This window comes from Homo sapiens, chromosome 16 (assembly GCF_000001405.40).
Source record: "Homo sapiens chromosome 16, GRCh38.p14 Primary Assembly".
NCBI classification, from domain to species: Eukaryota; Metazoa; Chordata; class Mammalia; order Primates; family Hominidae; genus Homo; species Homo sapiens.
In genome coordinates this window covers 236519-263946 of record NC_000016.10, presented here as the reverse complement: position 1 = coordinate 263946, position 27428 = coordinate 236519, and the positions used below count along the sequence as shown (strand labels likewise).

At 50.3% G+C, this 27428-nt stretch overlaps 1 protein-coding gene across 28 annotated transcripts in view, besides 1 other annotated feature; it reads right to left on the bottom strand.

Moving 5' to 3' along the window:
• Nucleotides 1–27428, bottom strand: part of FAM234A (family with sequence similarity 234 member A) — a 35143-nt gene that overhangs the window by 6017 nt on the left and 1698 nt on the right. For 2 of the 28 annotated variants that reach the window (NR_104317.2, NM_032039.4), the window contains exons 2-10: nt 14293–14398; nt 9266–9566; nt 4348–4464; nt 3787–3978; nt 2433–2563; nt 1722–1854; nt 1394–1523; nt 545–685; nt 172–247 (exon numbers count right to left, since the gene is read on the bottom strand). Coding sequence is in view for 27 of the 28 variants with exons in the window: in NM_032039.4 (NP_114428.1) it covers nt 172–247; nt 545–685; nt 1394–1523; nt 1722–1854; nt 2433–2563; nt 3787–3978; nt 4348–4464; nt 9266–9533 (1188 nt within the window). In the remaining variant the exon portion in view is untranslated. Of the gene's footprint in view, nt 1–171; nt 248–544; nt 686–1393; nt 1524–1721; nt 1855–2432; nt 2564–3786; nt 3979–4347; nt 4465–9265; nt 9619–10017; nt 10115–14292; nt 14399–15549; nt 15704–20046; nt 21330–23670; nt 23738–27428 lie in introns of those variants that run through there. The other 26 variants (XM_047434744.1, XM_047434753.1, XM_047434746.1 and 23 more) reach the window with 26 other exon arrangements.
• Nucleotides 5556–6515: an enhancer, noted in NCBI's record as "NANOG-H3K27ac hESC enhancer chr16:307431-308390 (GRCh37/hg19 assembly coordinates)". NCBI's record gives its function as "activates a minimal SCP1, AML or CMV promoter by ChIP-STARR-seq in naive H9 embryonic stem cells {active_cell/tissue: H9 hESC(naive)}" and the evidence as "EXISTENCE:reporter gene assay evidence [ECO:0000049][PMID:30033119]".

The window sequence follows — 27428 nt, the reverse complement described above, 5'->3', positions numbered from 1 at the left end:
CACACGTGCCCTCAGCCATGCCAGCCCTGGAGGCAGATGCTCTGAGGGAGGCAGAACCTTCTCAGCAGCTCTGACGGCAGCAGCCTCCTGGGCCGCAGCCCCGTCTGCTTTCAGACCAGTCTATCCTCAGCTAAGAACAAAGGTGCCACCTCCGAAGGAAGAACAACGAACCTGTCTGTCGGTGCCAGTTCCGTTTTCAACGGCTACAGCCAAGGTGTCTGGTTTGTAGCGGCCGAAGATGGGTTTTCTGGAACAATATGGAGGAAGCGCTCACGAGGGGTCTCAGTGAGGAGACTGAGATGAAGGAAGCACCCAGGAACACGTCCGCCCCTCAGTCTCCCATGGCCACATCTGGACCAGGGCCCAGGACACGGAGCCGACGTCTGGGGCAAGGGGCAAGTACCAGAGACAGGCAAGAAGCCCGGGCAGCAGCACACGGCCTCCGGCCCCACCCCCAGCGCTGTCTCCTCGCCAGCCAACGGGATGTGCCCGGGATGCCGGGAAGGGGTGCAGCACCTGCGCGGTCCTTGGGGAAACCCTGTACCTCAGGACATGGGCTGCCTTGGGTGTCCAGCGAGGCGTCAGCTCCTGCCCGTCCAGCAGCACGAAGGCCTCTGAGCCCACAAGAAGCACATCTGCACCGGCGTTCCCTGGGACATGCATCAGGTAGCGCACTGCTCCAGAGCTAGACAGGAGAGTGGGAGAAAGGGGCGCCGGGTCCCCGGGGCGGCCTCAGGCACCCAGTGGAGGCTCTGGCACCGCCCGTCTCAGGGTGCTCCTCTTAGGCCCCCATAACCCGTTTCTCAGTTCTACAGCTTGAAAAGAGAAGAGCTGGGCGCGGTGGCTCATGCCTGTAATTCCAGCACTTTGGGAGGCCGAGGCGGGCGGATCACGAGGTCAGAAGTTCGAGACCAGTCTGACCAACATGGAGAAACCCCGTCTCTACTAAAAATGCAAAAATTAGCTGGGCGTGGAGGTGCGCGCCTGTAATCCCAGCTACTCGGGAGGCTGGGGCAGGAGAATCACTTGAACCCGGGAGGCGGAGGTTGCAGTGAACCGAGATCGCACCACTGCACTCCAGCCTGGGGGACAGGGCAAGACTCCGTCTTAAAAAAAAAAAACAACCAAAAAAAAAAAAAACAGAAAAGAGAAGAAAGACCCCCACTTTCCGTGGAGACAGACAGGCACAGCGTCGGGAACCTTTCTTCTCTTTACTCAACTTTTATTTGACCATTTCTCACATCTGAGCCCAGGGTGACCTTGCGGTACCCCGAGCACCTCCCTGCCGGTGGGGCTGCTCTGGGCTCCACACAGATTGTCCGAACGCTGAGGCAGGCGAGCAGAGCCATGGGGTGGGCGCTCTGCATGGAGAAAGGCTGCGGCCCGGACCCACCTGTGGGAAAGCATCCTGCGGGTGGTGGCATTGAGCATGCTCTCCCAGTGCGGGTCACTCTTGAACGGGCCGCCGCTCCCGGTCACCTTCTCGTAGAGACCCTTCACAGAGCAGCCGCAGAGGGAGCTTGCTATTCAAAACACAGAAGGGCCCGAGGTCACCAGGGTCACGCTGTGAACCCGGACCAGGGGCACGCAGTGCCACATGGAGCCAGGCCCCTGGGCTTCCTGACTCCAGCACCTCGAGAGCAGAAGCAGGACCTGAGGAGCCGCAGGGCAGTCATGCTCCACGAGTGAGGCTGGCCAGGGATGTGGCAGAAACAACGTACCGCAGGGAAAGAGGATGTAGTGGGCACCTGTCCTGGTGACGTGAAGGAGGAAGCCACTTTCCCCGTCCACACCAAGGCTGCCTCTGAGGCCAATCTGGTGCCCGGTGCTGCCGGAGTAGAGGTGGCCACTAACCTGCAATGACACAGGATGACACAGGAAGAGAGGGACCTGAGCCTGGGGCTGCAAGGACACAAGGCCCAGGAAGAGAAGGACCTGAGCCTGGGGCTGCAATGACACAAGGCCCAGGAAGAGAGGGACGTGAGCCTGGGGGCGGGGCACTCTACAATGGGAGATGTGGAAGGGTAAGGGGCCCACAGGCTCTTGGTTTTGAGGAAAGACACGCTGACATCAGAGAGTCTGCCACGATGGTTGGTGCCTCCACACTGCACGGGGCACATGAGGCAGGCAGGGCAGCCCCAGTGCCTCACAGGTGCTCCCAGCCCTCAGAGCTTCACCCCCAACACTGCAACAGCACAAATGGGAAGTGTGTACTCCACCATTCTTGGGGAGGCCCCAAAGCTGCCTGGTAGAGATGGAGCCCCCTGAGTATGCTGGGTCTATGGGAGTTGGGAACGTGGGGCTCTGGGCGAGTCCCCGGCAAGTGGTCAGACCCGAATCCTGTCTGGGAAGTGGCAGCAGATGGGGAGGTAGAGCAGGGCCGTGTGGCAGGTGGCCTCGTGACTTGGGAGCAGAGCCAGGCTGGGATGTACCTCCTCCCGCTCCTGGGTGAGAACCAGCAGGTCTGGGGCCCCATCGCCGTCCACATCAGGCACCTGCAGCAGAGGGCTCAGGATGGACGCATTCCCGCTGAAGCTGCTGCTGTGGTTCCACAGGGTTTCCCCTAGAATCAAGCACACGGTCACGGAACGTGGCCCTGAGTCCCCTTCAACAGCAGCCCGGCAACTGCAAGGCCTGTGACAGGCAGGCTCCTGTTGAGGCATCACCCTCGTGAGCCCACGGCTCACTGCACACTCAGAGCAGATGCCAACAGGAGGGGAGGGCGGCACTCCTGTGCTCGTGAAGGAGCAGCACGCGGAGGTGGTGGACACACGTCCTGCCCGTGTATGGAGACTCGGTGGCAATATGCCAAACGCTGACAGCCTCATTCCTGGGAACCGCAGAGTTCCCCCTTCCTTTTCTCCTATCTGCGTGTCCTGGAACCTCTAGGGCCCATGCTGACCCTCCTGCCCGAGTGGATGAAGCCTGACCTCACCCACCTCTCGAAGCCCCTGCCTCCTGCTGGGGTTGCAGGCGTGCCCTTGGTGCCATGCAGGCCCCAGCTGAGTGGCCCCTTCATCTGCCCTCCACATAGAAGGCAAGAATGGAGGTGTGCGCCCGGAGGCAGATCTACTGACCACAGGTCCTCGTCCAACTCCTTACGCACATACAATCTCATCCAAACCTTTTTTTAAAGACAGATTCCTTGATTCTTAAAATATTTTCAGCCTGCTCTTTATTCTCCTCCATATCCTTAAAATGACAGCTTGTAAGGGAAATATGAACATTCACCAAATCTAGGCACAGAAATCTTCCAGACCGCGATGAGGTGCAAGGAGCCCACACACACACATGGCCCCGTGCACCACGCATTCTTTCCCTCGTCCTTCCACGAGGCCGGCTCCGCTGGGGCTCGGAGACCTGCACCTTCAGGCTTAGGGGCACTGACAGGCCCCGATCTCCCCTGACGGGCCGAGTGCTGGTTCATGTTCTGGGCTCGCCCTGGGCACTGCCACCACTGACACCCCAGGAGCAGCCGGGGGCCAAGCCGCTCCTCCTCTCTGCTACCCCATGGCAGGTGACATCGGACTGCCCCTGTGTGTTACAGCCCACCAGCAAGGTGTAACGGGAGGTAACAGACACAGTGCAGCTGAAGGCAGCCGAGGCGTGTGCCTTCCACACGCTTGCAGCCTCACTTGGAGGTTCTCCCCATAACCTTCCTTCCCATCCAGCCACCCTCAAGATCACAGGGCTGAGCCTCGTCGCGGCCTCCTGGCATTAGCCCTCAGGGTGAGGTGGCTCAGGTGAGAGGCCCTCAGTGAGAACCCCGCTGCCTGGCTGGCCTACCTGTGAACAAGTTGACTGCAATGAAAGAACTGGGTCTGCCCACCAGGATGCAGGCAGAAGGTGCCTCACTGCCTCTTGGCTGGGGCACAGCACACTCCACGAGGGCCACGTCTTGGGCCACAGGTCTCTCCCAGAGCGTGCTGCCGTTGGCCCCCGACACAGCAGCTGCAAAGGTGCAGGGAGAGGAAAAGCCTGTAGGGAGAGACACCGGCACCTCACTGTTGCACCATCTGGGCAGGCAGGCCGGCCAGCCCCAGCATGTGCTGTTCCAGGTCTGTTTTCCTCACACCTCTCCTAGGCCACAGCCCCTCCCGCCAGGTGGATCTCCTGTATCTTGCAGGCTCCCGGGGCTCTAATGCTGACCCCACGGGGCTCAGGGGCCAGGGCAGTGCTGGGACTGGGCTTCCAGGCCTCTTTCTGGTCTGCCAGGAAGGATGACGAGATGGGTTCCAGAAACACCACCATCTGCTTCCCCCAAACACTGAAAGCGAGAGGGTGACCCAAAATGACGATTCCTCTTTCTACAGGGAGCTCCGCCTTTTTCATATAAAATGAAATTACCTTCGTCCACACAGGATCGGCTGAAATTGTTGCTGCTGTTGGTGTTTTTATAAAGAAAAAGAACATCTTGGATCCTGTCCCCGTTTATATCATCCACAGCCAGAAAGTCATAGATAACTGAAAGAGAAAACCACAGACTATACTCCGCGGGCCATGCCTGGTTTCCAGGAACGATCAGGTCCAGCACGACCTACTTCTCTGCTACATGGAACCTGCCACTGTGAGGGCACCCAACGAGGACGGTGGCTTCTTCCTCACTAGGATGAGTAATTTCCTTCGTGAAAACCAGGGGGTGGGCAACAATGCCTAGTGTTAACCTTCAGAAAGGAACAAGCAGGACATCTGGGCATTAAGAATTGGATGTTCTGGCACCTTCTGTTCAGGGATAAATCCCTCCCTAGACCAGGGGGCATCTAGACAGTCCACACTCCATACTCGTCAGGGTTTACACTTCCTTTCATTCAAGGACTCAAGTGATAAACTTTATGCCCTAAAATCAAACACCAAAAGAGTGAAGTTGGCCGGGCAAGGTGCCTCACGCCTGTAATCCCAGCACTTTGGGAGGCCGAGGAGGGCAGATAACGAGGTCAAGAGATTGAGACCATCTTGGCCAACGTGTGAAACCCTGTCTCTACTAAAAATACAAAAAATTAGCTGGGTGTAGTAGCACGTGCCTGTAGTCCCAGCTACTCGGGAGGCTGAGGCACAAGAATCGTTTGAACCCAGGAGGCAGAGGTTGCAGTGAGCGAGATTGCACCACTGCACTCCAGCCTGGCCGACAGAGCTGGAGTCCATCTCAAAAAACAAAAACAAAAAAATAGGCCGGGCCCAGCTGCCCCCTCCGGGAGGTGAGGGGCGCCTCTGCCCGGCCACCCCTACTGGGAAGTGAGGAGCCCCTCTGCCCGGCTACCACCCCGTCTGGGAGGTGTACCCAACAGCTCATTGAGAACGGGCCATGATGACAATGGCGGTTTTGTGGAATAGAAAGGGGAGAAAGGTGGGGAAAAGATTGAGAAATCGGATGGTTGCTGTGTCTGTGTAGAAAGAAGTAGACATGGGAGACTTTTCATTTTGTTCTGTACTAAGAAAACTTCTTCTGCCTTGGGATCCTGTTGATCGGTGACCTTACCCCCAACCCTGTGCTCTCTGAAACATGTGCTGTGTCCACTCAGGGTTGAATGGATTAAGGGCGGTGCAAGATGTGCTTTGTTAAACAGATGCTTGAAGGCAGCATGCTCGTTAAGAGTCATCACCACTCCCTAATCTCAAGTACCCAGGGACGCAAACACTGCGGAAGGCCGCAGGGACCTCTGCCTAGGAAAACCAGAGACCTTTGTTCACTTGTTTATCTGCTGACCTTCCGTCCACTATTGTCGTATGACCCTGCCAAATCCCCCTCTGCGAGAAACACCCAAGAATGATCAATAAAAAAAAAAAAAAAAAATAGGCCGGGTGAGGTGGCTCACGCCTGTAATCCTAGCACTTTAGGAGGCCGAGGCGGGTGGATCACAAGGTCAGGAGTCCGAGACAAGCCTGGCTAATACGGTGAAACCTTCTCTACTAAAAATACAGAAATTAGCCGGGCGTGGTGGCGGGCGCCTATAGTTCCAGCTACTCGGGAGGCTAAGGCAGGAGAATCGCCTGAACCCAGGAGGTGGAGGCTGCAGTCAGTTGAGATTGAGCCACCGCACTCCAGCCTGGGCGACAGAGCGAGACTCGATCTCAAAAACAAACAAACAAAAAAAAAAGAATAAAGTTGAACCCCGTCCCCCTTATTTTAGAGACAGGGTCTGGCTACGTTGCCCAGGCTGGCCTTGAACTCGAGGCCTCAAGTGATCCTCCTGTCTCAGCCTCTGAAACTGCTGGAATTACAGGTGTGAGCCACTGCGCCCAGCATGAAGTTGAATCTTTACGTCATGCACAAAAATGAACTCAAAATGAATCAAAGACCTAAACGTAAGAGCTAAAATTATAAAACTCTTAGAAAAAAAAAACGGGAAAAATCTTCATGACAAGGGATCTGGTGATGGTTTCTTTGATACAAAAGCACAGGAGGCTGAGTGCGGTGGCTCACGCCTGTAATCCCAGCACTATGGGAGGCCGAGGCGGGTGGATCACCTGAGGTCAAGAGTTTGAGACCAGCCTGGCCAATATGGTGAAACCCCGTCTCTACTAAAAATACATACATTAGCCAGGCATGGAGGCGGGCACCTGTAATCCCAGCTACTTGGGAGGCTGAGGCAGGAGAATCGCTTGAACCCGGGAGGTGGAGGTTGCAGTGAGCCGAGATCGCGCCACTGCACTCTCCAGCCTGGATGACAGAGCAAGACTGTCTCCAAAAAAAAAAAAAAAAAAAAAAAAAAGACTTCATTGAAACTAAAAGCTTTTATGCATCGAAGGACACTATCAAGAGAGTGGAAAGGCTGGGCGTGGTGGTTCACACCGGTAGTCCTAGCACTTTGGGAAGCCAAGGCAGGCGGATCACTTGAGGTCAGGAGTTTGAGATCAGCCTGGCCAACATGGTGAAACCTCGCATCTACTAAAAATACAAAAGTTACGGCCAAGCGTGGTGGCACGTGCCTGTAATCCCAGCACTTTGGGATGCTGAGGCAGGCCAATCACCTAAGGTCGGGAATTCAAGACCAGCCTGACCAACATGGAGAAACCCCGTTTCTACTAAAAATACAAAATTAGCCGGGTGTGGTGGCACATGCCTGTAGTTTCAGCTACTCGGGAGGCTGAGGCAGGAGAATCACTTGAATCTGGGAGGTGGCGATTACGGTGAGCTGAGATCAGGCCATTGCACTCCAGCCTGGGAAACAAGAGCGAAACTCTGTCTCAAAAAAAAAAAAAAAAAAATTAGCCAGGCATGGTAGCCTGTGCCTGTAATCCCAGCTACTACTTGGGAGGCTGAGGCAGGAGAATCGCTTGAACCTGGGAGGCAGAGGTTGCAGTGAGCCGAGATTGCGCCATTGCACTCCAGCCTGGGGTAGAAGAGCAAAACTCCATCTCAAAAAATAAATAAATAAATAAATAAAAATAAATTATTTTTAATTTCTAAAAATGGGCAAAAGACTGCAAGAATAGACATTCACCAAAGAAGATGCAAGAATAGACATTCACCAAAGAAGATGCAAGAATGGCTAAAACTCACACGAAAAGAGGGACCCAACATTTTCAGTCACTGGGAGATTCTAATTCACACCCACTAGCATGAGTGTAATAAGAAGACAGACAATAACAAGAAACTAAAGGCCTCCTCAGCATTGTAGTAGGAATGGAAAATAGTCAAATGGTGCAGTCGCTTTAGAAAACAGCTTGTCAGCTCCTCAGAAAGTTAAACATAAACTTACCATAGGGTTCAGCAATTCCACTCCTAGCAATCTACCCAAGAGAAATGAAAACATATCCACACGAAGATCTGCACGTGAATGTTCACGGCAGAATTATTCATAAGAGTCTCAACTGAGAGCCATCCAGGTGATCGTCAGCCAACCCTCCCAGGAGCACTGCTCAGCAACGGAAAGACACAGACAGACCACGACACAAACGAACGGCAAAACATCACGCTAAGTTAAGGAAGTCACACTCCTTCACTTACATACTGTATGATTTCACTTCTAAGAAATGTCTAGAGGCCGGGCGCGGTGGCTCACGCCGGTAATCCCAGCCCTTTTTGGAGACTTAAGCGGGCAGATCATCTGAGGTCGGGAGTTTGAGACCAGCCTGACCAACACGGAGAAACCCCATCTGTACTAAAAATACAAAATTAGCTGGGCGTGGTGGTGCATGCCTGCAATCCCAGCTACTCGGGAGGCTGGGGCAGGAGAATCACTTGAACCTGGGAGGTGGCGGTTGAGATGAGCGGAGATTGTGCCATTGCACTCCAGCCTGGGCAACAAGAGCAAAACTCTGTCTAAAAAAATAAAAAGACTAATCTTTGGAGACAGGAGACTAGGTTGCCCAGGGCTAGGAGAGGAGGGAACAGGGAGTGATGGCAAAGATAATGAGGAATTTTCTCTTTTTGAGACAGGGTCTCTCTCTGTCACCCAGGCTGGAGTGCAGTGGCACGATCACAGCTCACTGCAGCCTCAACCTTCCAGGTGTAAATGATACTCCTACCTCAGCCTCCCAAGTAGCTGGGACCACAGCTGCATGCCACCACGCCTGGCTGATTTTTGTATTTTTTGTAGAGATGCGGTCTGTGCCCAGCCTCTTGAGCAATCTTTTAGGGATGATGGAAATATTCTAAAACGGAATTGTACTGACAGCTACATAACTCTACAAACTGACTACAAATCACTGAATTGGGCCAGGTGTGGTGACTTACACCTGTAATCCCAGCACGTTGGGAGGCCGAGGGAGGAGGATGACTTAAAATCAGGAGTTCAAGAGCAGCCTGGCTAACATGGTAAAACCCCATCTTTACCAAAAATACAAAATTAGGGCCAGGCGCTGTGGCTCACGCCTGTAATCTCAGCACTTTGGGAGGCTGAGGCGGGCGGATCACGAGCTCAGGAGTTCGAGACCACCCTGACCAACATGGTGAAACCCGGTCTCTACTAAAAATACAAATATTAGCTGGGCGTGGTGCTGCACGCCTGTAATCCCAGCTATTTGGGAGGCTGAGGCGGGAGAATCGCTTGAACTCCGGAGGCAGAAGTAGCGGTGAGCTGAGATTGTGCCAGTGCACTCCAGCCTGGGCAACAAGAGCGAAACTCCATCTCAAAAATAAAAAGGCTGGTCTATCGCTCCCTAAAACTCCGGGAAAACCTTGGACATAGAACTGGCAGCCTCTTGGGATTGATTCACTGTTTAAAGGCCACTTCTAGACTCGCAGACACAGTTCTGCCCCCTCCGCCCCATCCCCTGGGAAGAGCTGCTTTGGACCCCACTGGGCGGGGAAGCCGAGGCTCACCAGCGGCACTGTAGTCTATCCTCCACATTCGCTGTGACGCCGGCCGGTCTGGACACGGGATGACGAATGAGACGACGAACACCACAAAAAGGCAGAGAAACAATGAAAGAAAAAACGCCGCCGCTCGGCACCGGGAGAGCCGGGACTGTGGAGGCGCGCTTTTCACGTTATCCTCATTTTTTGATGGATTTCCCAGATTTTCCTGCGATTTTCTTTCTTCATTTTTCAAGGGGTGGATTTCGGCCTCTAAGTCCTTGTGGTCCAACATCACGGGCACATCCCAAAGTTTAACTCCTGGTCACTGTGTCGATAAAGCAAGAGGTCGGCGAGGCCAGCAGTCCCACGGCACAAAGCTGCAGCACAGAGGGGTCTGCTGGCGTCGGCTTCTTGGGGACTGGCTGCAGCTCTAACTATGGGCCACCAGCCCAGGAAATAAAAGCTAAATAAATGTTTAGGGTGTCAGTCTTAACAGATTATACTTAAGAAGGTCTCTAATTAGTGTGGAAAGGCGAGTTAGCTGTGGAGAGCCAGCAGGCAGGAACTATTTTCATCCAGAACACGCTGGTGCTTCCTGCCTGCCGAACCCAGGAAATGCTCAATGAGCTCCAGGGCAGTGTTAACTAAGCCCCACCTACTCAGCCTCTGAGCATATCTGAGCCACCTTCCACCAGCCTCAAGCACAGATGGAAAAGGTGACCCAGGTGCGCACACATGGACTCCCTGGAGGGCCACAGACCCAAAATTCAAAGTACCCGGAGTGAAGATGGGCTCTGGGCGGGCAGGCTTGCACCTCCCTAGCTGTGTGACCAGGACATGTGCTTTGACTGAACTGTGCCTCAGTTTCCTTATCTGTAAAACAAACAATATCTACTTTAGAAGCCTGTTCTAAGGATTAAATAATTAAATGTAGCCGGGCGTGGTGGCTCACACCTGTAATCCCAGTACTTTGGCAGGCCGAGGCGTGCGGATCACGAGGTCAGGAGATCAAGACCATCCTGGCTAACTCGGTGAAACCCCATCTCTACTAAAAATACAAAAAATTAGCAGGGCACGGTGGCGGGCACCTGTAGTCCCAGCTACTTGGGAGGCTGAGGCTGGAGAATGGCGTGAACCCGGGAGGCGGAGCTTGCAGTGAGCCGAGATCACGCCAGTGCACTCCAGCCTGGGCGACAGAGTGACACTCCGTCTCAAAAAAAAAAATTAAATGCATATAAAGTACTTATAAGATCATATGATACACAGTAAACATTCAAACACTACCTAATTATTATTAATAAAATATGTTCATGGATAAGCACAGACTAACTAGAAAAAAATAAAATAAAATATATTCAAACAGAAGTCCGCAGGGGAGGACAGGGGACAGCTGTGTTGAGTGAGCTCGGTGCTGGGAGTAACTTCTGAGCCCCAATTCTGAGGGGAAAAACATGCCCTCTCCTTCCCCTGGTTCCTGCTGGCCGGACCGGGGGTGGATGCGGTGGGGAAACCGGCAGTCGCCGTCTTAGAAACCAAAACGGAAAACACATTTGAACATGGGAAAGGCACAGGGCCCCTGATATCTGCCAACCACCACCACCCAGCCTGAGCTGCTTCGACTGTATAAAACGAGAAAAAAACAAACTTCCATTTTGTCTCAGGCAAGATTTTTGTTATTTTGGTTCCTTTTAAACAACCAAACCGATGTCCTAACACATCATACTGAGAGACTGGACGTGATCATGCAGATTTGAGGTAAAACCTTCACCTACCCAAAAAGGAAGTCAACAGTTCACAGCAAAGGGAGGGGTGAAAGATGAAAGAGGGCGTGCGGAGGTCAGCGAGGGAAGGCGAGGAAAAGCTGAGCTGAAAGCCGCACCCTCTGGGGAAGGGTCAGGAAGACAGAGAGATAAGGGACTGCTGGCTTTTGTTTTAAACTGTTCACTCGGACTTTGTCTTTGCCTAATTATATAATAAAAGTAACTCACTTAATAACCTGTGTATGACACTAGAATGGCTTTAATTTTAAAAGGGAAAAACGACGAGTCTGGGTGAGGATGTGGAGAAATCAGAACATCGTACGTTGCTGGTGGGACTGTAAAATGATGCCGCTGCTGTGAAACACAGTCTGGCAGATCCTCAAAAAGTTAAACACAGAACTACCATACTCTCCAGCAAGTCCAGTCCTAGGTGTACACCCACAAGAATTAAAAACAGACTTTCCGGCCGGGCACGGTGGCTCACGGCTGTAATCCCAGCACTTTTGAGAGGCCGAGGCAGGCAGATCACAAGGTCAAGAGATTGAGACCATCCTGGACAACATGGTGAAAACCGCATCTCTACTAAAAATACAAAAATTAGCTGGGCATGGTGGCGGGCGCCTGTAGTCCCAGCTACTCGGGAGGCTGAGGCAGGAGAATGGCTTGAACCTGGGAGGCAGAGGTTGTAGTGAGCCAAGATCGCGCCACTGCACTCCAGCCTGGGCGACAGTGAGACTCTGTCTCAAAAAAAAAAAAAAAACAAAAAACAGAAAAACAGAGACATGGCCAGCACGGTGGCTCATGCCTGTAATGCCAGTACTTTGGGAGGCCAAAGCAGGAGGATCCCTTGAGGATTGCTCGAGGCTGCAGTGAGCTCTGATCATGCCACCGCACTCTAGCCTGGGCAACAGAGAGACCCATCTCTTTTTTTTTTTTTTTTTTTGAGACGGAGTCTCATTCTGTCGCCCAGGCTAGAGTGCAGTGGCATGATCTTGGCTCACTGTAAGCTCTGCCTCCCCCGTTCACACCATTCTCCTGCCTCAGCCTCCCGAATAGCTGGGACTATGGGCGTCCGCCACCATGCCTGGCTAATTTTTTGTATTTTTAGTAGAGATGGGGTTTCACCATGTTAGCCAGGATGGTCTCGATCTCCTGACCTCGTGATCCACCCGCACTGGCCTCCCAAACTGCTGGGATTACAGGCATGAGCCACCACGCCTGGCCAAGACCCCATCTCTTAAAAAAAAAAAAAAAAAAAAAAAAAAACCTGGCTAGGCATGGTGGCTTATGCCTGTAATCGCAGCACTCTGGGAGTCCGAGTGAGTGGAGTGCTTGACCTCAGGAGTTTGAGAACAGCCTGGGCAATGTGGCGAGACTCTGTCTCTACTAAAAATACCAAAAAAATTAGTTGGGTATGGCGGCGCTCGCCCGTGGTCTCAGCTACCCGGAGGCTGGGGTAGGAAGATCACTAGAGCCCAGGGGGGTGGAGGCTGCAGTGAGCTGAGATCACGCCACTGCACTGCCACCTGGGTGACAGAGCAAGACCCCATCTCAAAAAAAACAAAACAAAAAAAAACCCTACTGCAGAGGCTCAAACAAAAACTTGTAAATAAATGTTCATATTGGTTCATTATTAACAACAGCCAAAATGTAGAAACAACCCAGATGTCCAACAACATATGAACGTATCGGCTGGGCGCAGTGGCTCACGCCTGTGATCCCAACACTTTGAGAGGCCAAGGCGGGAGGATTACGAGGTCAGGCGTTCGAGACCAGCCTGGCCAATATGGTGAAAGCCATCTCTACTAAAAATACAAAAAAACTAGATGGGCATGGTGGCAGGCGCTTGTAATCCCAGCTACTCGGGAGGCTGAGGCAGGAGAATCGCTTGAACCCGGGAGGTGGAAGTTGCAGTGAGCCAAGATTGCACCATTGCACTCCAGCCTGGGCAATAGAGGGAGACTCCTTCTCAAAAACAAAACAAAACAAAACATATGAATGGATAAACAAAATGTGGCCTATCCATAATACAGTGCATAATTACACCATAATGCAGTGGTGTGTTTTTCAGCCATGGTAAAAACTAAAATTCTGACACATTATAAAATTATGCTAAATGCAATGACTAGGACACGAAGGTCCCCTGTAGTGTGAAACGCCCAGAACAGGCAAATCCACAGAGGCAGGGAGTAGACTCGTGGGGGCCAGGTGCGGAACAGGGAGAGTCGGGAATGACTGCTATGGGCTGAGGGTTTCTTTGTGGGATGATGAAAATAGTGGTGATGGTTACAAAATGCTGTGATCATACCAAATGTTACTAATGGCAAATTTTACGTTATGTACATTTTACCACAATAAGAAAAAATGTGTGCATTCTCCTAGGTGCTGAGGCTTAAGTTTTAACATCTTGGAAGTCAGAAAAGGTGTGCTTATCAAAGGCAGTGAGTTAGAACACGGAAAATCAAACAATGAGTCGCGACCAAGGACCTCATTAAACCCAAGCAGCTGGCATGGGGGTGGGGAAGGCAGGACGTGGGTTGTCTGGAAAAGGTAACTAGGGAAAAAGCCAGCAACAGAACGTAGGAGTGCCTCATTGCCAGGGCCTGAGGGGCTGGGGCCAGGGCTGGAAGAAGAGGAGACGGCCATTAATTCAGCAAATCTAGCCACCATGTCCCCAAGGAAGGGATGTGTGAAATGTTTAAAACATAGATTCCTGGCCGGGCGCGGTGGCTCACGCCTGTAGTCCCAGCACTTTGAGAGGCCGAGGTGGGAGGATCACGAGGTCAGGAGATCTAGAGCATCCTGGCTAACACGGTGAAACCCCGTCTCTACTAAGAATACAAAAAATTAGCTGGGTGTGGCGGCATGCGCCTATAGGAGGCTGCGGCAGGAGAACGGCGTGAACCCGGGAGGTGGAGCTTGCAGTGAGCCGAGATCGCGCCACTGCACTCCAGCCTGGGCGACAGAGCGAGACTCCGTCTAAAAAGAAAAATTTTTTTTAAATAATAAATAAATAAAACATAGATTCCTTTGGCAAAGGAAAGAAAAAAACGGAGTAAGAACCAGAATGTTATAATTCTGGATTTCTATCTTTACGGCTTTAAACTTAAGAGCTTTAAAATTGCAGCCAAGAAATTCGAGCTCTGAGCCTCAGCTGTCCTCATCTGGTGGGAGCTAGAGCATCAAAGAAAGCGTGCAGGAAAGCACTACTCAAGGAGGGGCATCAACCGCCACCACCAGGAATCTGAAAACACCACCCATCCAGCCACGGGCCCACCAGTCCTCACCTACCTGGTCGTGGGAGTGCCCGGAGGACGTCCTCGATGTGGACTCCTGCTGGTGCATCTGGTCGTGAGCTGTGGACGGGGAATCTGTGCCTTCGCAAGCCCAGGTGGACCTAGGGATCATAAAGCCACTTGTCAAGTGCAGCTCAGGCAGCCTGCGAAGGTGGCAGGTCAGGAACTTAGATCCTCCCAAAGACATGACTCTCAGTGGTGGCTCCACATGAAAATAACTTGGGTGCTTTCGCAATCCTGATGCCACCCCCAGAAGGACTAAGTTGGCCACTTTGGGTGTGGGGTCCCAGTCAGGAGCAGCTGCTGGCACTCTCCAGCTGATTCCAGGGTGGAGCCAAGCAGAGAAGAACAGACCGAGAAGTCTGCCCTTGTTCGGTTCATCCCACTCTAACTACCAGATGATGGCCAGACATCTCCTGACCCTCAAGGGGAGACTGCATCCCCCCACAGCCAGCCTGGAAGCAAGCAAGGCAAAGGGGAAAGGGCCTCTTCCTCTGAAGATGCCGCCCGGCCTGTATTCTGGGTTTTCTGTTCCTTGGAGTTCACAGCAAGCTTAGTAAAGTCAATCCAAATGCAGACCTCAAGCTAGTAAATTATATCACTCCCTTTCTTAATCCTTCTTCTAATATGTAAGCTATGACCAAAGGACCCTGCAAGACAATTACTATTAATGTAGTTTGGATTTATAATTTTAAAAAATCAGTAATAAATATATACAACATTTAAAAGGGCCAGGTGCACTGCCTCACACCTGTAATCCCAGCACTTTGGGGGACTGAGGCAGGTGGGTCGCTTGAGCCTAGGAGTTTGAGACCAGCCTGGGCAACAGGGGACACTTCTTCTCTACCCAAAAATACAAAAATCAGCCAGGTGTGGTGGTGGGCACCTATAGTCCCAACTACTCAGGAGGCTGAGGCAGGAGGATTGCTTGAGCCCGGGAGGTCAAGGCTGCAGTGAGCGATGGCCAGGACACTGCACTCCATCCTGGGCAACAGAACAAGACCCTGTTTCAAAAAAACCCACAAAACTTAAAAACTATAAAAGGGTAAATCTCCTTTCATCTTGTGGCTCCCAGGCTCAAGAGGGGAAGCATGGTACCAGTTTCATATGGGTCCTTCCAGAAGTATTCTCTATGTGGATAAGCATGGAGTATATAAAGTATACAATCTATATGAAAAAAATGTGACTAGAATGGTCGAGTTATAAGGTGGCTTCTAAAAATTAAAGGAAAAATAAAATTCAAACTACTTACTTATCTCTACAGCATGATTTGTCATGTTAAATCAGACCAAACTGGACATTCTGTGGCAGGGACAGAGAAAGTACTGTCATTTTCTCAATTCCTGCCTTTTGAATTGGAGAGCCTGGCCGAAAGGACAAACATTTCCCCCATGCACGGACCATCTCTGTAACAAGATTTAGAAGGACAAAGGGAAAAAACTCTCTAAATGCTCATTAGTAACACGGTTGGGGATTTGGGTCATCTGTGTCTTGTGAGCATCTACAATTGGTCCAGTGTCCTCACCTGCAGAGCAGAATGAAATAAGACATATCACATACGTGTGAGGGAAGACAGAAACAGAGGCTTCAGAAGGCAAAGCCCCATTACGGGACGCAAAACAATGCAGGCAATTGACTTAACCAGATGAGCACCCACCTGAACCCAGCACTGGGCTCCACTCTGAGAGGGTTCCCAGACAGTCAGGCCCCGCAGTGCCTCCATGGGGACTCTCCCACCACTTGGGCGAACCCAGGTCAGGGTAGAAAATGGCACTGAACATTTTTGGGAGGATCATCATTTTAACTGACAAACACAGGTTTCTAAAACCGAGCCAGCCGTTGAGGCATTTATGAAAAACACAGACTGATCTAAGATCAAAAGAGTTTGTGAGAAACTGATTTAAAAATCATTAATAAGGCCAGGCGCGGTGGCTCACGCCTATAATCCCAGCCCTTTGGGAGGCCAAGGCAGGCGGAGTACCTGAGGTCAGGAGTTCGAGACCAGCCTGGCCAACATGGTGAAACCCCATCTCTACTAAAAAATACAAAAATTAGTCGGGCGTGGTGGCGGGCACCTTAATCCCAGTCACTTGGGAGTCAAGGGCAGGAGAATTGTTTGAACCTGGGAGGCAGAGGTTGCAGTCAGCCGAGATTGAGCCATCGCACTCAAGCCTGAGGGACAACAGCAAGACTTCTCTTAAAAAAAAAAAATCATTAATAAGGCTGGGAGTGTTGTCTCATGTCTATAATCCCAGCACTTTGCCAGGCCGAGGCGCATGGAAAGCTTGAGTTCAGTTCAAGACCAGCCTGGGCAACACGGTGAGACCGTTTCTAAAAAGAAAGAAAAAAAAAATCAGCCCGGTGTGGTGGCACACGCCTGTGGTCTTAGCTACCCAGGAGCTGAGGTGGGAGGGTCACTTGAAGCCAGGAAGTGGAGGCTGCAATGAGTGGTGATCACGCCACTGCCCTCCAGCCTGGTGACACAGAGTAAAGCTCTGTCTCAAAACAAAACAAAACAGAACAAAACATCGATAAAACAACAAAACCAACAATCAATCAATTAAAAAACCACCAACTGACCGGGCGTGGTGGTTTGCGCCTGTAATCCCAGCACTTTCGGAGGCCGAGGCAGGCAGATCACGAAGTCAGGAGTTCGAGACCAGCCTGAACAACATGGTGAAACCCCACCTCTGCTAAAATAAAAAAATTAGATGAGTATGGTGGCATGCGCCTATAATCCCAACTACTCAGGAGGCTGAGGCAGGAGAATCACTTGAGCCTGGGAGGCAGAGGTTGCAGTGAGCCAAGATCGTGCCACTGCACTCCAGCCTGGGCAACAGAGCAAGACCCCCATCTCAAAAAAAGAAAAAAACAAAAACAAAACAAAACAAAACAAAACACCAATCGATCGAAAAAAAAAAAACACCAGCTGGCTGGGCATGGTGGCTCACGCCTGTAATACCAGCACTTTAGGAGGCCAAAGCGGGCGGATCACAAGGTCAGGAGATTGAGACCATCCTGGCTAACACGGTGAAACCCCATCTCTACTAAAAATACAAAAAATTAGCCGGGTGTGGTGGCGGGCACCTTTAGTCCCAGCTACTCGGGAGGCTGAGGCAGGAGAATGGCGTGAACCCGGGAGGCAGAGCTTGCAGTGAGCCAAGATCGCACCACTGCACTCCAGCCTGGGCGACAGAGCAAGACTATCTCAAAAAAAAAAAAAAAAAAAAAAGCCACCACCTACTCAGGAGGCTGAGGCAGGAGAACTGCTTGAACCCAGGAGGCAGAGGTTGCGGTGAGCCGAGACTGCACCACTGTGCTCCAGCCTGGGTGAGAGTGAGACCTCGTCACAAAAAAAAAAAAAAATCCACCAATCAAGATAAACTCCAAATGAATTAAAAATGTAAACATTATTATTATTATTATTATTTTTTTGAGACAGAATCTTGCTCTGTCACCTAGGCGGGAGTACAATGGCGTGATCTTGGCTCACTGCAACCTCTGCCTCCTGGGTTCAAGCGATTCTCCTGCCTCAGCCTCCTGAGTGGCTGGGACTATAGGCACCCACCACCACACCCACCACCGCACCCAGCTAATTTTTGTATTTTTAGTAGAGACGGTTTCACCATGATGATCAGGCTGGTCTAGAACTGCTGACCTCGTGATCTGCCCACCTAAGCCTCTCAAAGTGCTGGGATTACAGGCGTGAGCCACTGCGCCTGGCCAAAAATGTAAACATTATTTTTAACAAACATTAAACTAAAAGAAAATAGAAGAGAATGTTTATGTATTGTTAGGGAAAGTCTTGAACGCATGACCCCAAAGGTGGAAATCATTAAGAAAAACACTGATGAACTAAATATATTATGAAATGTCTAACCCAAGCTTGTCCAACCCTCGGCCCAGGATGGCTTGAAGTGTGGCCTAACATAAATTCAGAAACTTTCTTAAAACATTCACAGATTTTTTTGCAATTTTTTTTTTTCAGCTCATCAGCTATCATTAGTGTTAGTGTACTTTATGTGTGGCCCAAGACAATTCTTCCAACGTGGCCCAGGGAAGCCAAAAGATTGTTGTTAGCTCCACAAAACAAACCAGGATAAATATTCTTAGGGTTTTCACAAACCCACAAAAGAAAGGCAAGGACCCCAGTGGGGAAACAGGAAACGAATTCATAACTGGGCAGTTCACTGAAGAGCACACGCCAGTGGCCGGTGCCCAGGGGAAACACACTCAGTCTCACTCATAGACACAGCAGGACCAATGACATTAACAAAAGTTAAGCATTTCATTTTATCTGATCTTGAGACAGGGTCTCACTCTGTGGCCCAGGCTGGAGGGCAGTGGTGATCTAGGCTCACTGCAACCTCCTCCTGCTGGGTTCGAGAGATTCTCCCACCTCAGCCTATAAAGTAGCTGGGACCACAGGTGTGCATCACCGCGCCGGGCAAATTTTTGTATTTTTTGTAGAGACAGAGTTTCGCCACGTTGCCCAGGCTGGTCTCAAACTCCAGGGCCCAAGTGATCTGCCTGCCTCAGCCTCCCAAAGTGTGGGCCACGCCCAGCCTAAAAGTTAAGCATTTTAAAATGTGTTGGTGAGAATATACGATAACAGGTCTGCAGTACAATAGTCGTGGGAATTTGAAATGGTAGTTATTGGTCGAGCGCGATGGCTCATGCCTGTAATCCCAGCACGTTGGGAGGCTGAGGCGGGCAGATCACCTGAGGTCGGGAGTTTGAGACCAGCCTGACCAACATGGAGAAACCCCATCTCTACTAAAAATACAAAAAAAAATTAGCCGGGCGTGGTGGTGCATGCCTGTAATCCCAGCTACTCGGGAGGCTGAGGCAGGAGAATCACTTGAACCTGGGAGGCAGAGGGTGCAGTGGCCAAGATCGTGCCATTCCACTCCAGCCTGGGCAACAAAAGCAAAATTCCGTCTCAAAAAAAAAAAAAAAAAAAAAAAGAGGTTACCATTCAGGGAAGCAGACTTCAGGGTCCAGCCCTGTGCTATTTTTACAACATTTTGTGAATCTATAAGTAGTCCAAAATAAAAAGTATAAAATAGAAAATCAAAAGAGAAAAGAAAACCGTTAGTAAGGGGGAGTGGGGTCAGAGGTTCATGTAAGTTTTAGAGGAAGAACCAGCTTCTCCACAGGCAGCTTGGTTTGTGCCTCAAAGCTACCTTAATATGAAGCTATTTTGTTCCAAAGGCAGGAGTCCTTTTAGTGTTTTGTTTATTTTTGGAAGAATATCAATAGTGGAGTTTTGTGGTAGCCTGAAGAAATACTGAAAGAAGAGCCAAACCCCTGGCATGTTACAATTCTCCATTACAAAATAATCACCAGCTTCCTCAAAACCATCCATTAAAATCATTTTCCGACCGGGCGCGGTGGCTCACGCCTGTAATCCCAGCACTTTGGGAGGCCAAGGCGGGTGGATCACAAGGTCAGGAGATCGAGACCATCCTAGCTAACACGGTGAAACCCCATCTCTACTAAAGATAGAAAAAATTAGCCGGGCGTGGTGGCGGGTGCCTGTAGTCCCAGCTACTCAGGAGGCTGAGGCAGGAGAATGGTGTGAACCTGGGAGGCGGAGGTTGCAGTGAGCCGAGATGGCACCACTGCACTCCAGCCTGGGTGACAGAGCAAGACTCCGACTCAAAAAAAAAAAAAATCATTTTCCTTTCCACTGTGGGGAAAAAACGGATATGCACAGCATTTATAACAATACTCCCCAAATACTTACCTGAGCAAATGCCAGAGTTTAAAAGGGGTCGTCTCCAAAGTCAGACAATGTGGTGACAATGAAAATGCCCCAAGGGGTGGGAACTCTTACTGCTATACAGCCTCTGCACATGCTTTCACACCGGCCTGGCCACAGAAAAGGGGTGTGTGTTTAACACGAATAAGGCCTGTCTTTGGAAAATTAAAAAGCTGGTCAGGAATTCCTTCACAGGATCTCCAGGTAAGACTTCCTTTTTGGAAACTTGACTGAGCCACCAGAAATAGGGGTAGTTATTAAAAGCCACAACGGCAAGGCAGCCAAAGCCAGGCAGTTCATGATTCAACCAGTTTGCAAATAAAGACACCATGAGACAGGTCCAAAGATTTGCTCATCAACAGCAAGAAGATACCAATGTTTTTCTCTACTGCGGTCATTAAAAATACCAGGAGCCGTAGCCAGAGCTTCAGGAACCTGACTGGCAGAGAAAATCCCCATGGACCCAGGTCAGAGAGACTTGAGCAGGGCACTGTCCTTGCTCTACTTTAGCATCCATACCATTGACCACAGAGAGTCAGGCCATGTGGCTATTTAAAAAAACAGAAAACAGAACTCAACAAGCTAATAACCAAAAATTTAACTTCATGGCCGGGCAGGGTGGTTCACGCCTATAATCCTAGTGCTTTGGGAGGCTGAGGCAGGAGGATGACTTGAGGCCAGGTGTTCGAGACCAGTCTGGGCAACATGGGGAGACCCCATCTCTACAAAAAGTAAAATAAAATTAGGTGTAGTGGCATGTGCTTGTAGTCCCAGCTACCTGGGAGGCTGAGGTGGGAGGTTAGCTTGAGCCCAAGAGGTTGAGGCTGCAGTGAGCTGTGATCATTATCACTACATTCCAGTTTGGGCAACAGAGTGAGACCTTGTTTCAAAAAAAAAAAAAAAAGTGAGGGCTCAGAAAGAAAAGAAAATTTGTCAATACAATACGTATTAATTAAGGTAAAAGACCTGACACGGGATGGGCGTGGTAGCTCACGCCTGTAATCCCAGCACTTTGGGAGGCTGAGGTGGGTGGATCGCAAGGTCAGGAGTTCGAGACCAATTTGGCCAACATGGTGAAACTCCATCTCTACTAAAAATACAAAAAATTAACCAGGCGTGGTGATGTGCATCAGTAATCCCAGCTACTCAGGAGGCTGAGGCAGGAGAATCGCTTGAACCCGGGGGGCAGAGGTTGCAGTGAGCTGAGATAGCGCCATTGCACTCCAGCCTGGACGACAGAGCGAGACTCTGTCTCAGAAAAAAAAAAAAAAAAGGAGCTGACACCAAGAATAACTTGAAGAAAGAAAGATAAACACAATACCTCATATATGGTTATTCAAACGGATTATTCCCCTGGCCTACAGAACTATCAGTAAGCCCGCGGTGACTCGTGCCTATAAACCCAGCATTTTGGGAGGCCGAGGTGGACAGATCACTGGAGGACAGGAGTTCAAGACCAGGCTGGCCAACATGGTGAAACCCCGACTCTACTAAAAATACAAAATTAGGTGGGTATGTTGGTGTCTGCCTATAGTCTCAGCTACTGGGAAGGCTGAAGCACGAGAATCACTTCAGCCTGGGAGGTAGGGGATGTGGTGAGCCAAGATCGTACTACTGCACTCCAGCCCGGGTGATAGACCAAGACTCTGTCTCAAAAAAAAGGACTATCGGTAAACCAGCTGTCCACTCTAGGCCACTGAGGCTGCCACACCTATCTGTCCTCCAGGGAGTCCACAGGCTACCCAGTCCTGAGTGGAAACTCTGATTAGGGGGAAGAACAAAACAATCCAGCAGTAGTTTGCACAGCTCATTAACATTTCGGCAGGGGTGGGGCAGGAATACCACAGTCCATGCAGAAAGGAAGTGACAGGTCTCTCCCTTTTCTCCAAGAGTTCTTTCTCTAAGAAGTTTACTGAGTCACAGAGAACAGAAAATAAAAACAAAAGTCTCATTCTAATTGCCTTTTTTTTTTTTTTTTTTGAGACGTTGTCTCGCTCTGTCGCCCAGGCTGGAGTGCAGTGGTGCAATCTTGGCTCACTGCAACCTCCGCCTCCTGGTTTCAAGCCTCAGCCTCCCCAGTAGCTGGGACTACAGGTGCCCGCCACCAAGCCCGGCTAATTTTTTGTATTTTTAGTAGAGATGGGGTTTCACTGTGTTAGCCAGGATGGTCTCGATCTGCTGACCTCGTGATCCGCCCGCCTCGGCCTCCCAAAGTGCTGGGATTACAGGCCTGAGCCACCGCGCCCGGCCTCTAATTTTTTTAATTGCAGAAATTTGATGAAAACTTTTTTTTTTTTGACACAGGGTCTTGCTCTGTTGCCCAGGCTGGAATGAAGTGGTGCAATCATGGCTCACTGCAGCCTTGAATCCCCGGGCTCAAGAGATCCTCCCGCCTCAGGCTCCCCAGTAGCTGGGAGCACAGGCATGCACCAGCTAATTTTTGTTCAGCTAATCTTTAAATTTTTTGTAGAAATGAGAGCCTCACTATGTTGCCCAGGCTCCTCTGTAACTCCTGGGTTCATGTGATCCTCCCACCTCTGCCTCCCGAAGTGCTAGAATGACAGGTGTGAACCACCGTGCCCAGCCTGAAGCAGACAGCTTTTTTTTTTTCTTTCTTTTTGTGTAGACCTCCTCTGCGGTCAAGATAAGTGTTTTAAGGCTAGGCACAGTAGCATACATTTGTAATCCCAGCAACTTCGGGAGGCTACAGCAGGAGGCAGGAAGATCACTCGAGCGCAGGAGTTCGAGACCAGCCTGGGCAACATGACAAAACCCTACCTCCACAAAAAAATACAAAAACTAGCCGGGTATGGTGGTATGTGCCTCTAGTCCCAGCTGTGCGAGAGACTGAGGTTCCCTTGAGCCTGGGAGGTGAGCGGAGATCACACCACTGCATTCCAGTCTAGGCAACAGGGCAAGACCCTGTCTCAAAAAAAAGAGAAGAAAACAGTGTTTTAAATGGATAAAATATTTAGTTAATATTTAGAGGAAAACTATGATTATAGATTAATGTTACTATCTAGTTTCACCAGTTAGAAACAGAAACTGAAAAGATTTTGTCAATGGATTAAAAATAATAAGCCCAGCTGGGTGTGGTAGCTCACAACTGTAATCTCAGCACTTTAGGAGGCCTAGGCGGCTGGATCACTTGAGGTCAGGAGTGCGAGACCAACCTGGCCAACATTGTGAAACCCCATCTCTACTAAAAGTACAAAAATTAGCCGGCGTGGTGGCACGCGCCTGTAGTCCCAGCTACTAGGGAGGCTGAGGCAGGAGTATCGCTTTAACCAAGGAGGCAGAGGTTGCAGTGAGCTGAGATCGCACCATTGTACTCCAGCCTTGGCAACAAGAGCAAGACTCTGTCTCAAAAAAAAAAAAAAAAATACACCCAGATGCAGCGGCTCAAGCCTTAAATAAGTTTGGGGTGACCCCCACTGACCCTGGTTAACCACACTCCACCCCAGAGAACTCAGTATTTTTCTTTCAAAGCACTCATCATACTTCTCTTACCTGGCAGAAAGAAAGCTATTTAAGGCCAGGAAGATGTCTGCTGTGTCCCCTGAGCCAAATGGATGAAAGAGAACTTAAAAGACAAGTAAGATAACTCACAATCAAGATCTGAATTTTCCGACAGACTTCATCATCCATAATCACTAACCAATCTTGTAGCGAGTGTGCCCAAATGCTTGTCCCCAAATCCAGCTGCTATACACACAAATGACTTAAGAAATGTATTTACACAATGTGGCTGTGTCACCACCAAGAACACGCTGGGCATTTGACAGCAATTCAACATGAGCTTCAGAGACACCCACAACAGCCAATGAGGCAGATGTTTCAGCTGAGCAAAGCAGATGTCAGACAAGGACAGCTACTGTGTCCAGTTGTTTACAGCAAGCAGCTATTTCTCTCTCCACCAAGAATAATCTCAAGACAAAGAACAGGCCCATAACCATTTTTCCAGAACCACTTTAAAGATCATGGTTCCATGACAAAGGCAAAAGTATCACAGCACATGCAGTCAGCACTCAAAAGCCCAAACACAAGTTCCTTTCCTTTGCAGAACTGAAAAACTTTTACAGTACTTGAGAAGGGCTCACAATGCCTCCTAAAAATAAGTTGAGGGCGAACAGCTGATAGGCAACTATTACACAGAATAAGTTTTGTAGTCTGTCCAGAAAATACCATGGAGTAAGCCTTTCTCCTGAATTCCAAGGCAGATTTCCTGCAACTCCCCCACAAATTAGTGTTAATTTTTTTTTTTTTTTTTTGAGACGGGGCCTAGCTGTGTCACCCAGGCTGGAGTGCAGTGGCGCAATCTCCACTCATTGCAAGCTCCGCCTCCTGGGTTCATGCCATTCTCCTGCCTCAGCCTCCCGAGTAGCTGGGACTACAGGTGCCCGCCACCACGTCCGACTAGTTTTTTTTGTATTTTTAGTAGAGACGGAGTTTCACCACGTTAGCCAGGATGGACTCGATCTCCTGACCTCGTGATCCACCCACCTCAGCCTCCCAAAGTGCTGGGATTACAGGCGTGAGCCACCGCATCCGGCACAATTTTTATTTATTTTTATTTTTATTTTCTTGAGTCAGAGTCTTGCTCTGTCGCCCAGGCTGGAATGTAGTGGTGCAATCTCAGCTCACTGCAACCTCTGCCTCCTGGGTTCAAGCGATTCTCCTGCCTCATCCTCCCGAGTAGCTGGGACTACAGGTGCCCGCCACTATGCCCGGCTAATTTTTTGTATTTTTTAGTAGAGACGGGGTTTCACTGTGTTAGCCAGGATGGTATTTTTTTTTTATTTTTGAGACGTAGGCTCGCTCTGTCGCCCAGGCTGGAGTGTAGCGGAGCGATCTCAGCTCACCGCAACCTCCGCCTCCTGGGTTCAAACAACTCTCCTGCCTCAGCCTCCTGAGTAGCTGGGACTACAGGCACGTGCCATGACACCCGGCTAATTTTTTTTTTTTTGTAGAGATGGGGTTTCACCATGTTAGCCAGGATAGTCTCGATCTCCTGACCTCGTGATCCACCCACCTCAGCCTCCCAAAGTGTTGGGATTACAGGCTTGAGCCACCACGCCCAGCCAGGGATTTTTTTTTTCTTTTTTTTTTTTTTTTTTTTTGAGACGGAGTCTCACTCTGTCGCCCAGGCTGGAGTGCAGTGGCACGATCTCTGCTCACTACAACCTCCGCCTCCCGGGTTCACGCCATTCTCCTGCCTCAGCCTCCGGAGTGGCTGGGACTACAGGCACCCGTCACCACGCCTGGCTAATTTTTTGTATTTTTAGTAGAGACGGGATTTCACTGTGTTAGCCAGGATGGTCTCGATCTCCTGACCTCATGATCTGCCCCCCTTGGCCTCCCAAAGGGCTGGGATTACAGGCGTGAGCCACCGTGCCTGGCCAGAACAGTAATTTATTAATGCATTCATTAATAAATTAGGCCTGGCCCTAGCTAACTAATCAGATTCCCAGAGATTACGGCCAGCACCCCAGCTGAAATCATAGGACCAGGCACTCTTGTCCCACAGGAGTGGTAAGCTGCATAGTGGTTTAAAAATGTTCGGACAGGGGCGGGGGCGGTGGTTCATGCTTCTAATTCCAGCACTTTGGGAAGCCAAGATGGGCAGATCACTTGACATCAGGAGTTCAAGACCAGCCTGGCCAACATGGCGAAACCTCGTCTCTACCAAAAACACAAAAATTAGCCCGGCATGGTGATGCACACCTGTAATCTCAGCTACTCAGGAGGCTGAGGCAGGAGAATCGCTTGAACCTGGGAGGCGGGGGTTGCAGTGGGCCAAGATGGAGCCACTGCACTCCAGCCTGGGCAACAGAGCGAGAATCCATCTCAAAATAAATAAATAAATAAAAATAAATAACATAGGCCAGGCACGGTGGCTCAAGTCTGTAACCCTAGCACTTTGGGAGGCCGAGGCGGGAGGATCACCTGAGGCCAGGAGTTTGAGACGAGCCCAGCCAACATGGTGAAACCCCGTCTTTACTAAAAATAAAAAAAATAGCTGGGCGTGGTAGTACGTGCTTGTAGTCCCAGCTCCTCCAGAGGCTGAGGCAAGAGAATAGCTGGACCAGGGAGGCGGAATGAGCCAAGATCACGTCACTGCACTCCAGCCTGGGTGACAGAGGAAGACTCTGTCTCAAAAAAAAAAAAAAAAGAATTTCATTAACAGGTTTTGTGGTGGAAACCTTCCACTTTCACTCCGAGATCACTTGCTCTAAGGGAAGATAATTACCATGTGAGGACATGGGCCCTAAGGAAAGTTCCATGATGCAAGGAACTGAGGGCTCCTGCCACCAGCCAAGAGGGAACTGAGGCTTCCAGTCACTAGCCTTGTGAGTGAGCCATCTTGGAATCAGATCCTCCAGCCCTGGTCCAGCTTTTATTTTATTTGTTCTTTTTAAATTTTCGACCTCTAGAAAAAACAGAAAAGACTCCATCCAGCTTTTAGACACCTGCAGCCCCAGCCAACATCTTGGCTGCAACTCCATGAGACCCGAAGTCATAATCACCCAGATAAGCCACTGATCAATTCCTGACCCACAGAAACTGTTGGATAATAAATATTCGTCACTTTAATCCATTAAACTTTGTGTTGTTACAAGCAGCAGACAACCATTAGAAGTCAGCAGAATGGAAGCAAGGAGCCTGAAAAGAAAAAGAAGGGGTGGGCATGGTGGCTCACACCTGTAATCCTAACACTTTGCGAGGCCAAGGCAGGAGGACTGCTTGAAGCCAGGAGTTTGAGACCTGCCTGGGCAACACAGTGAGAACCCATCTACATATTTTTTTAAAAAAATACATAAATAAATAAACAGGCTGGGCGCAGTGGCTCACACTTATAATTCCAGCACTTCAGGAGGCCAACAAAGGAGGGTTGCTTGGGCACAGGAGTTCAGGACCAGACTGAGAAAGAGAGACCCCATCCCTACAAAATAATTTATTTATTTATTTTATTTTATTTTTTTGAGACAGTCTCGCTGTGGCCCAGGCTGGAGTGCAGTGGCGCGATCTCGGCTCACTGCAGGCTCCGCCCCCCGGGGTTTCCGCCATTCTCCTGCCTCAGCCTCCCGCGTAGCTGGGACTACAGGCGCCCGCCACCTCGCCCGGCTAATTTTTTGTATTTTTAGTAGAGACGGGGTTTCACCGTGTTAGCCACGATGGTCTCGATCTCCTGACCTCGTGATCCGCCCGCCTCGCCCTCCCAAAGTGCTGGGATTACAGGCGTGAGCCACCGCGCCCGGCCTATTTATTTTGAGACAGTCTCGCTATGTCTCCAGAGCGTAGTGGTGCAATCTCGGCTCACTGCAACCTCTGCCTCTCGGGTTCAAGCTATTCTCCTGCCCCAGCCT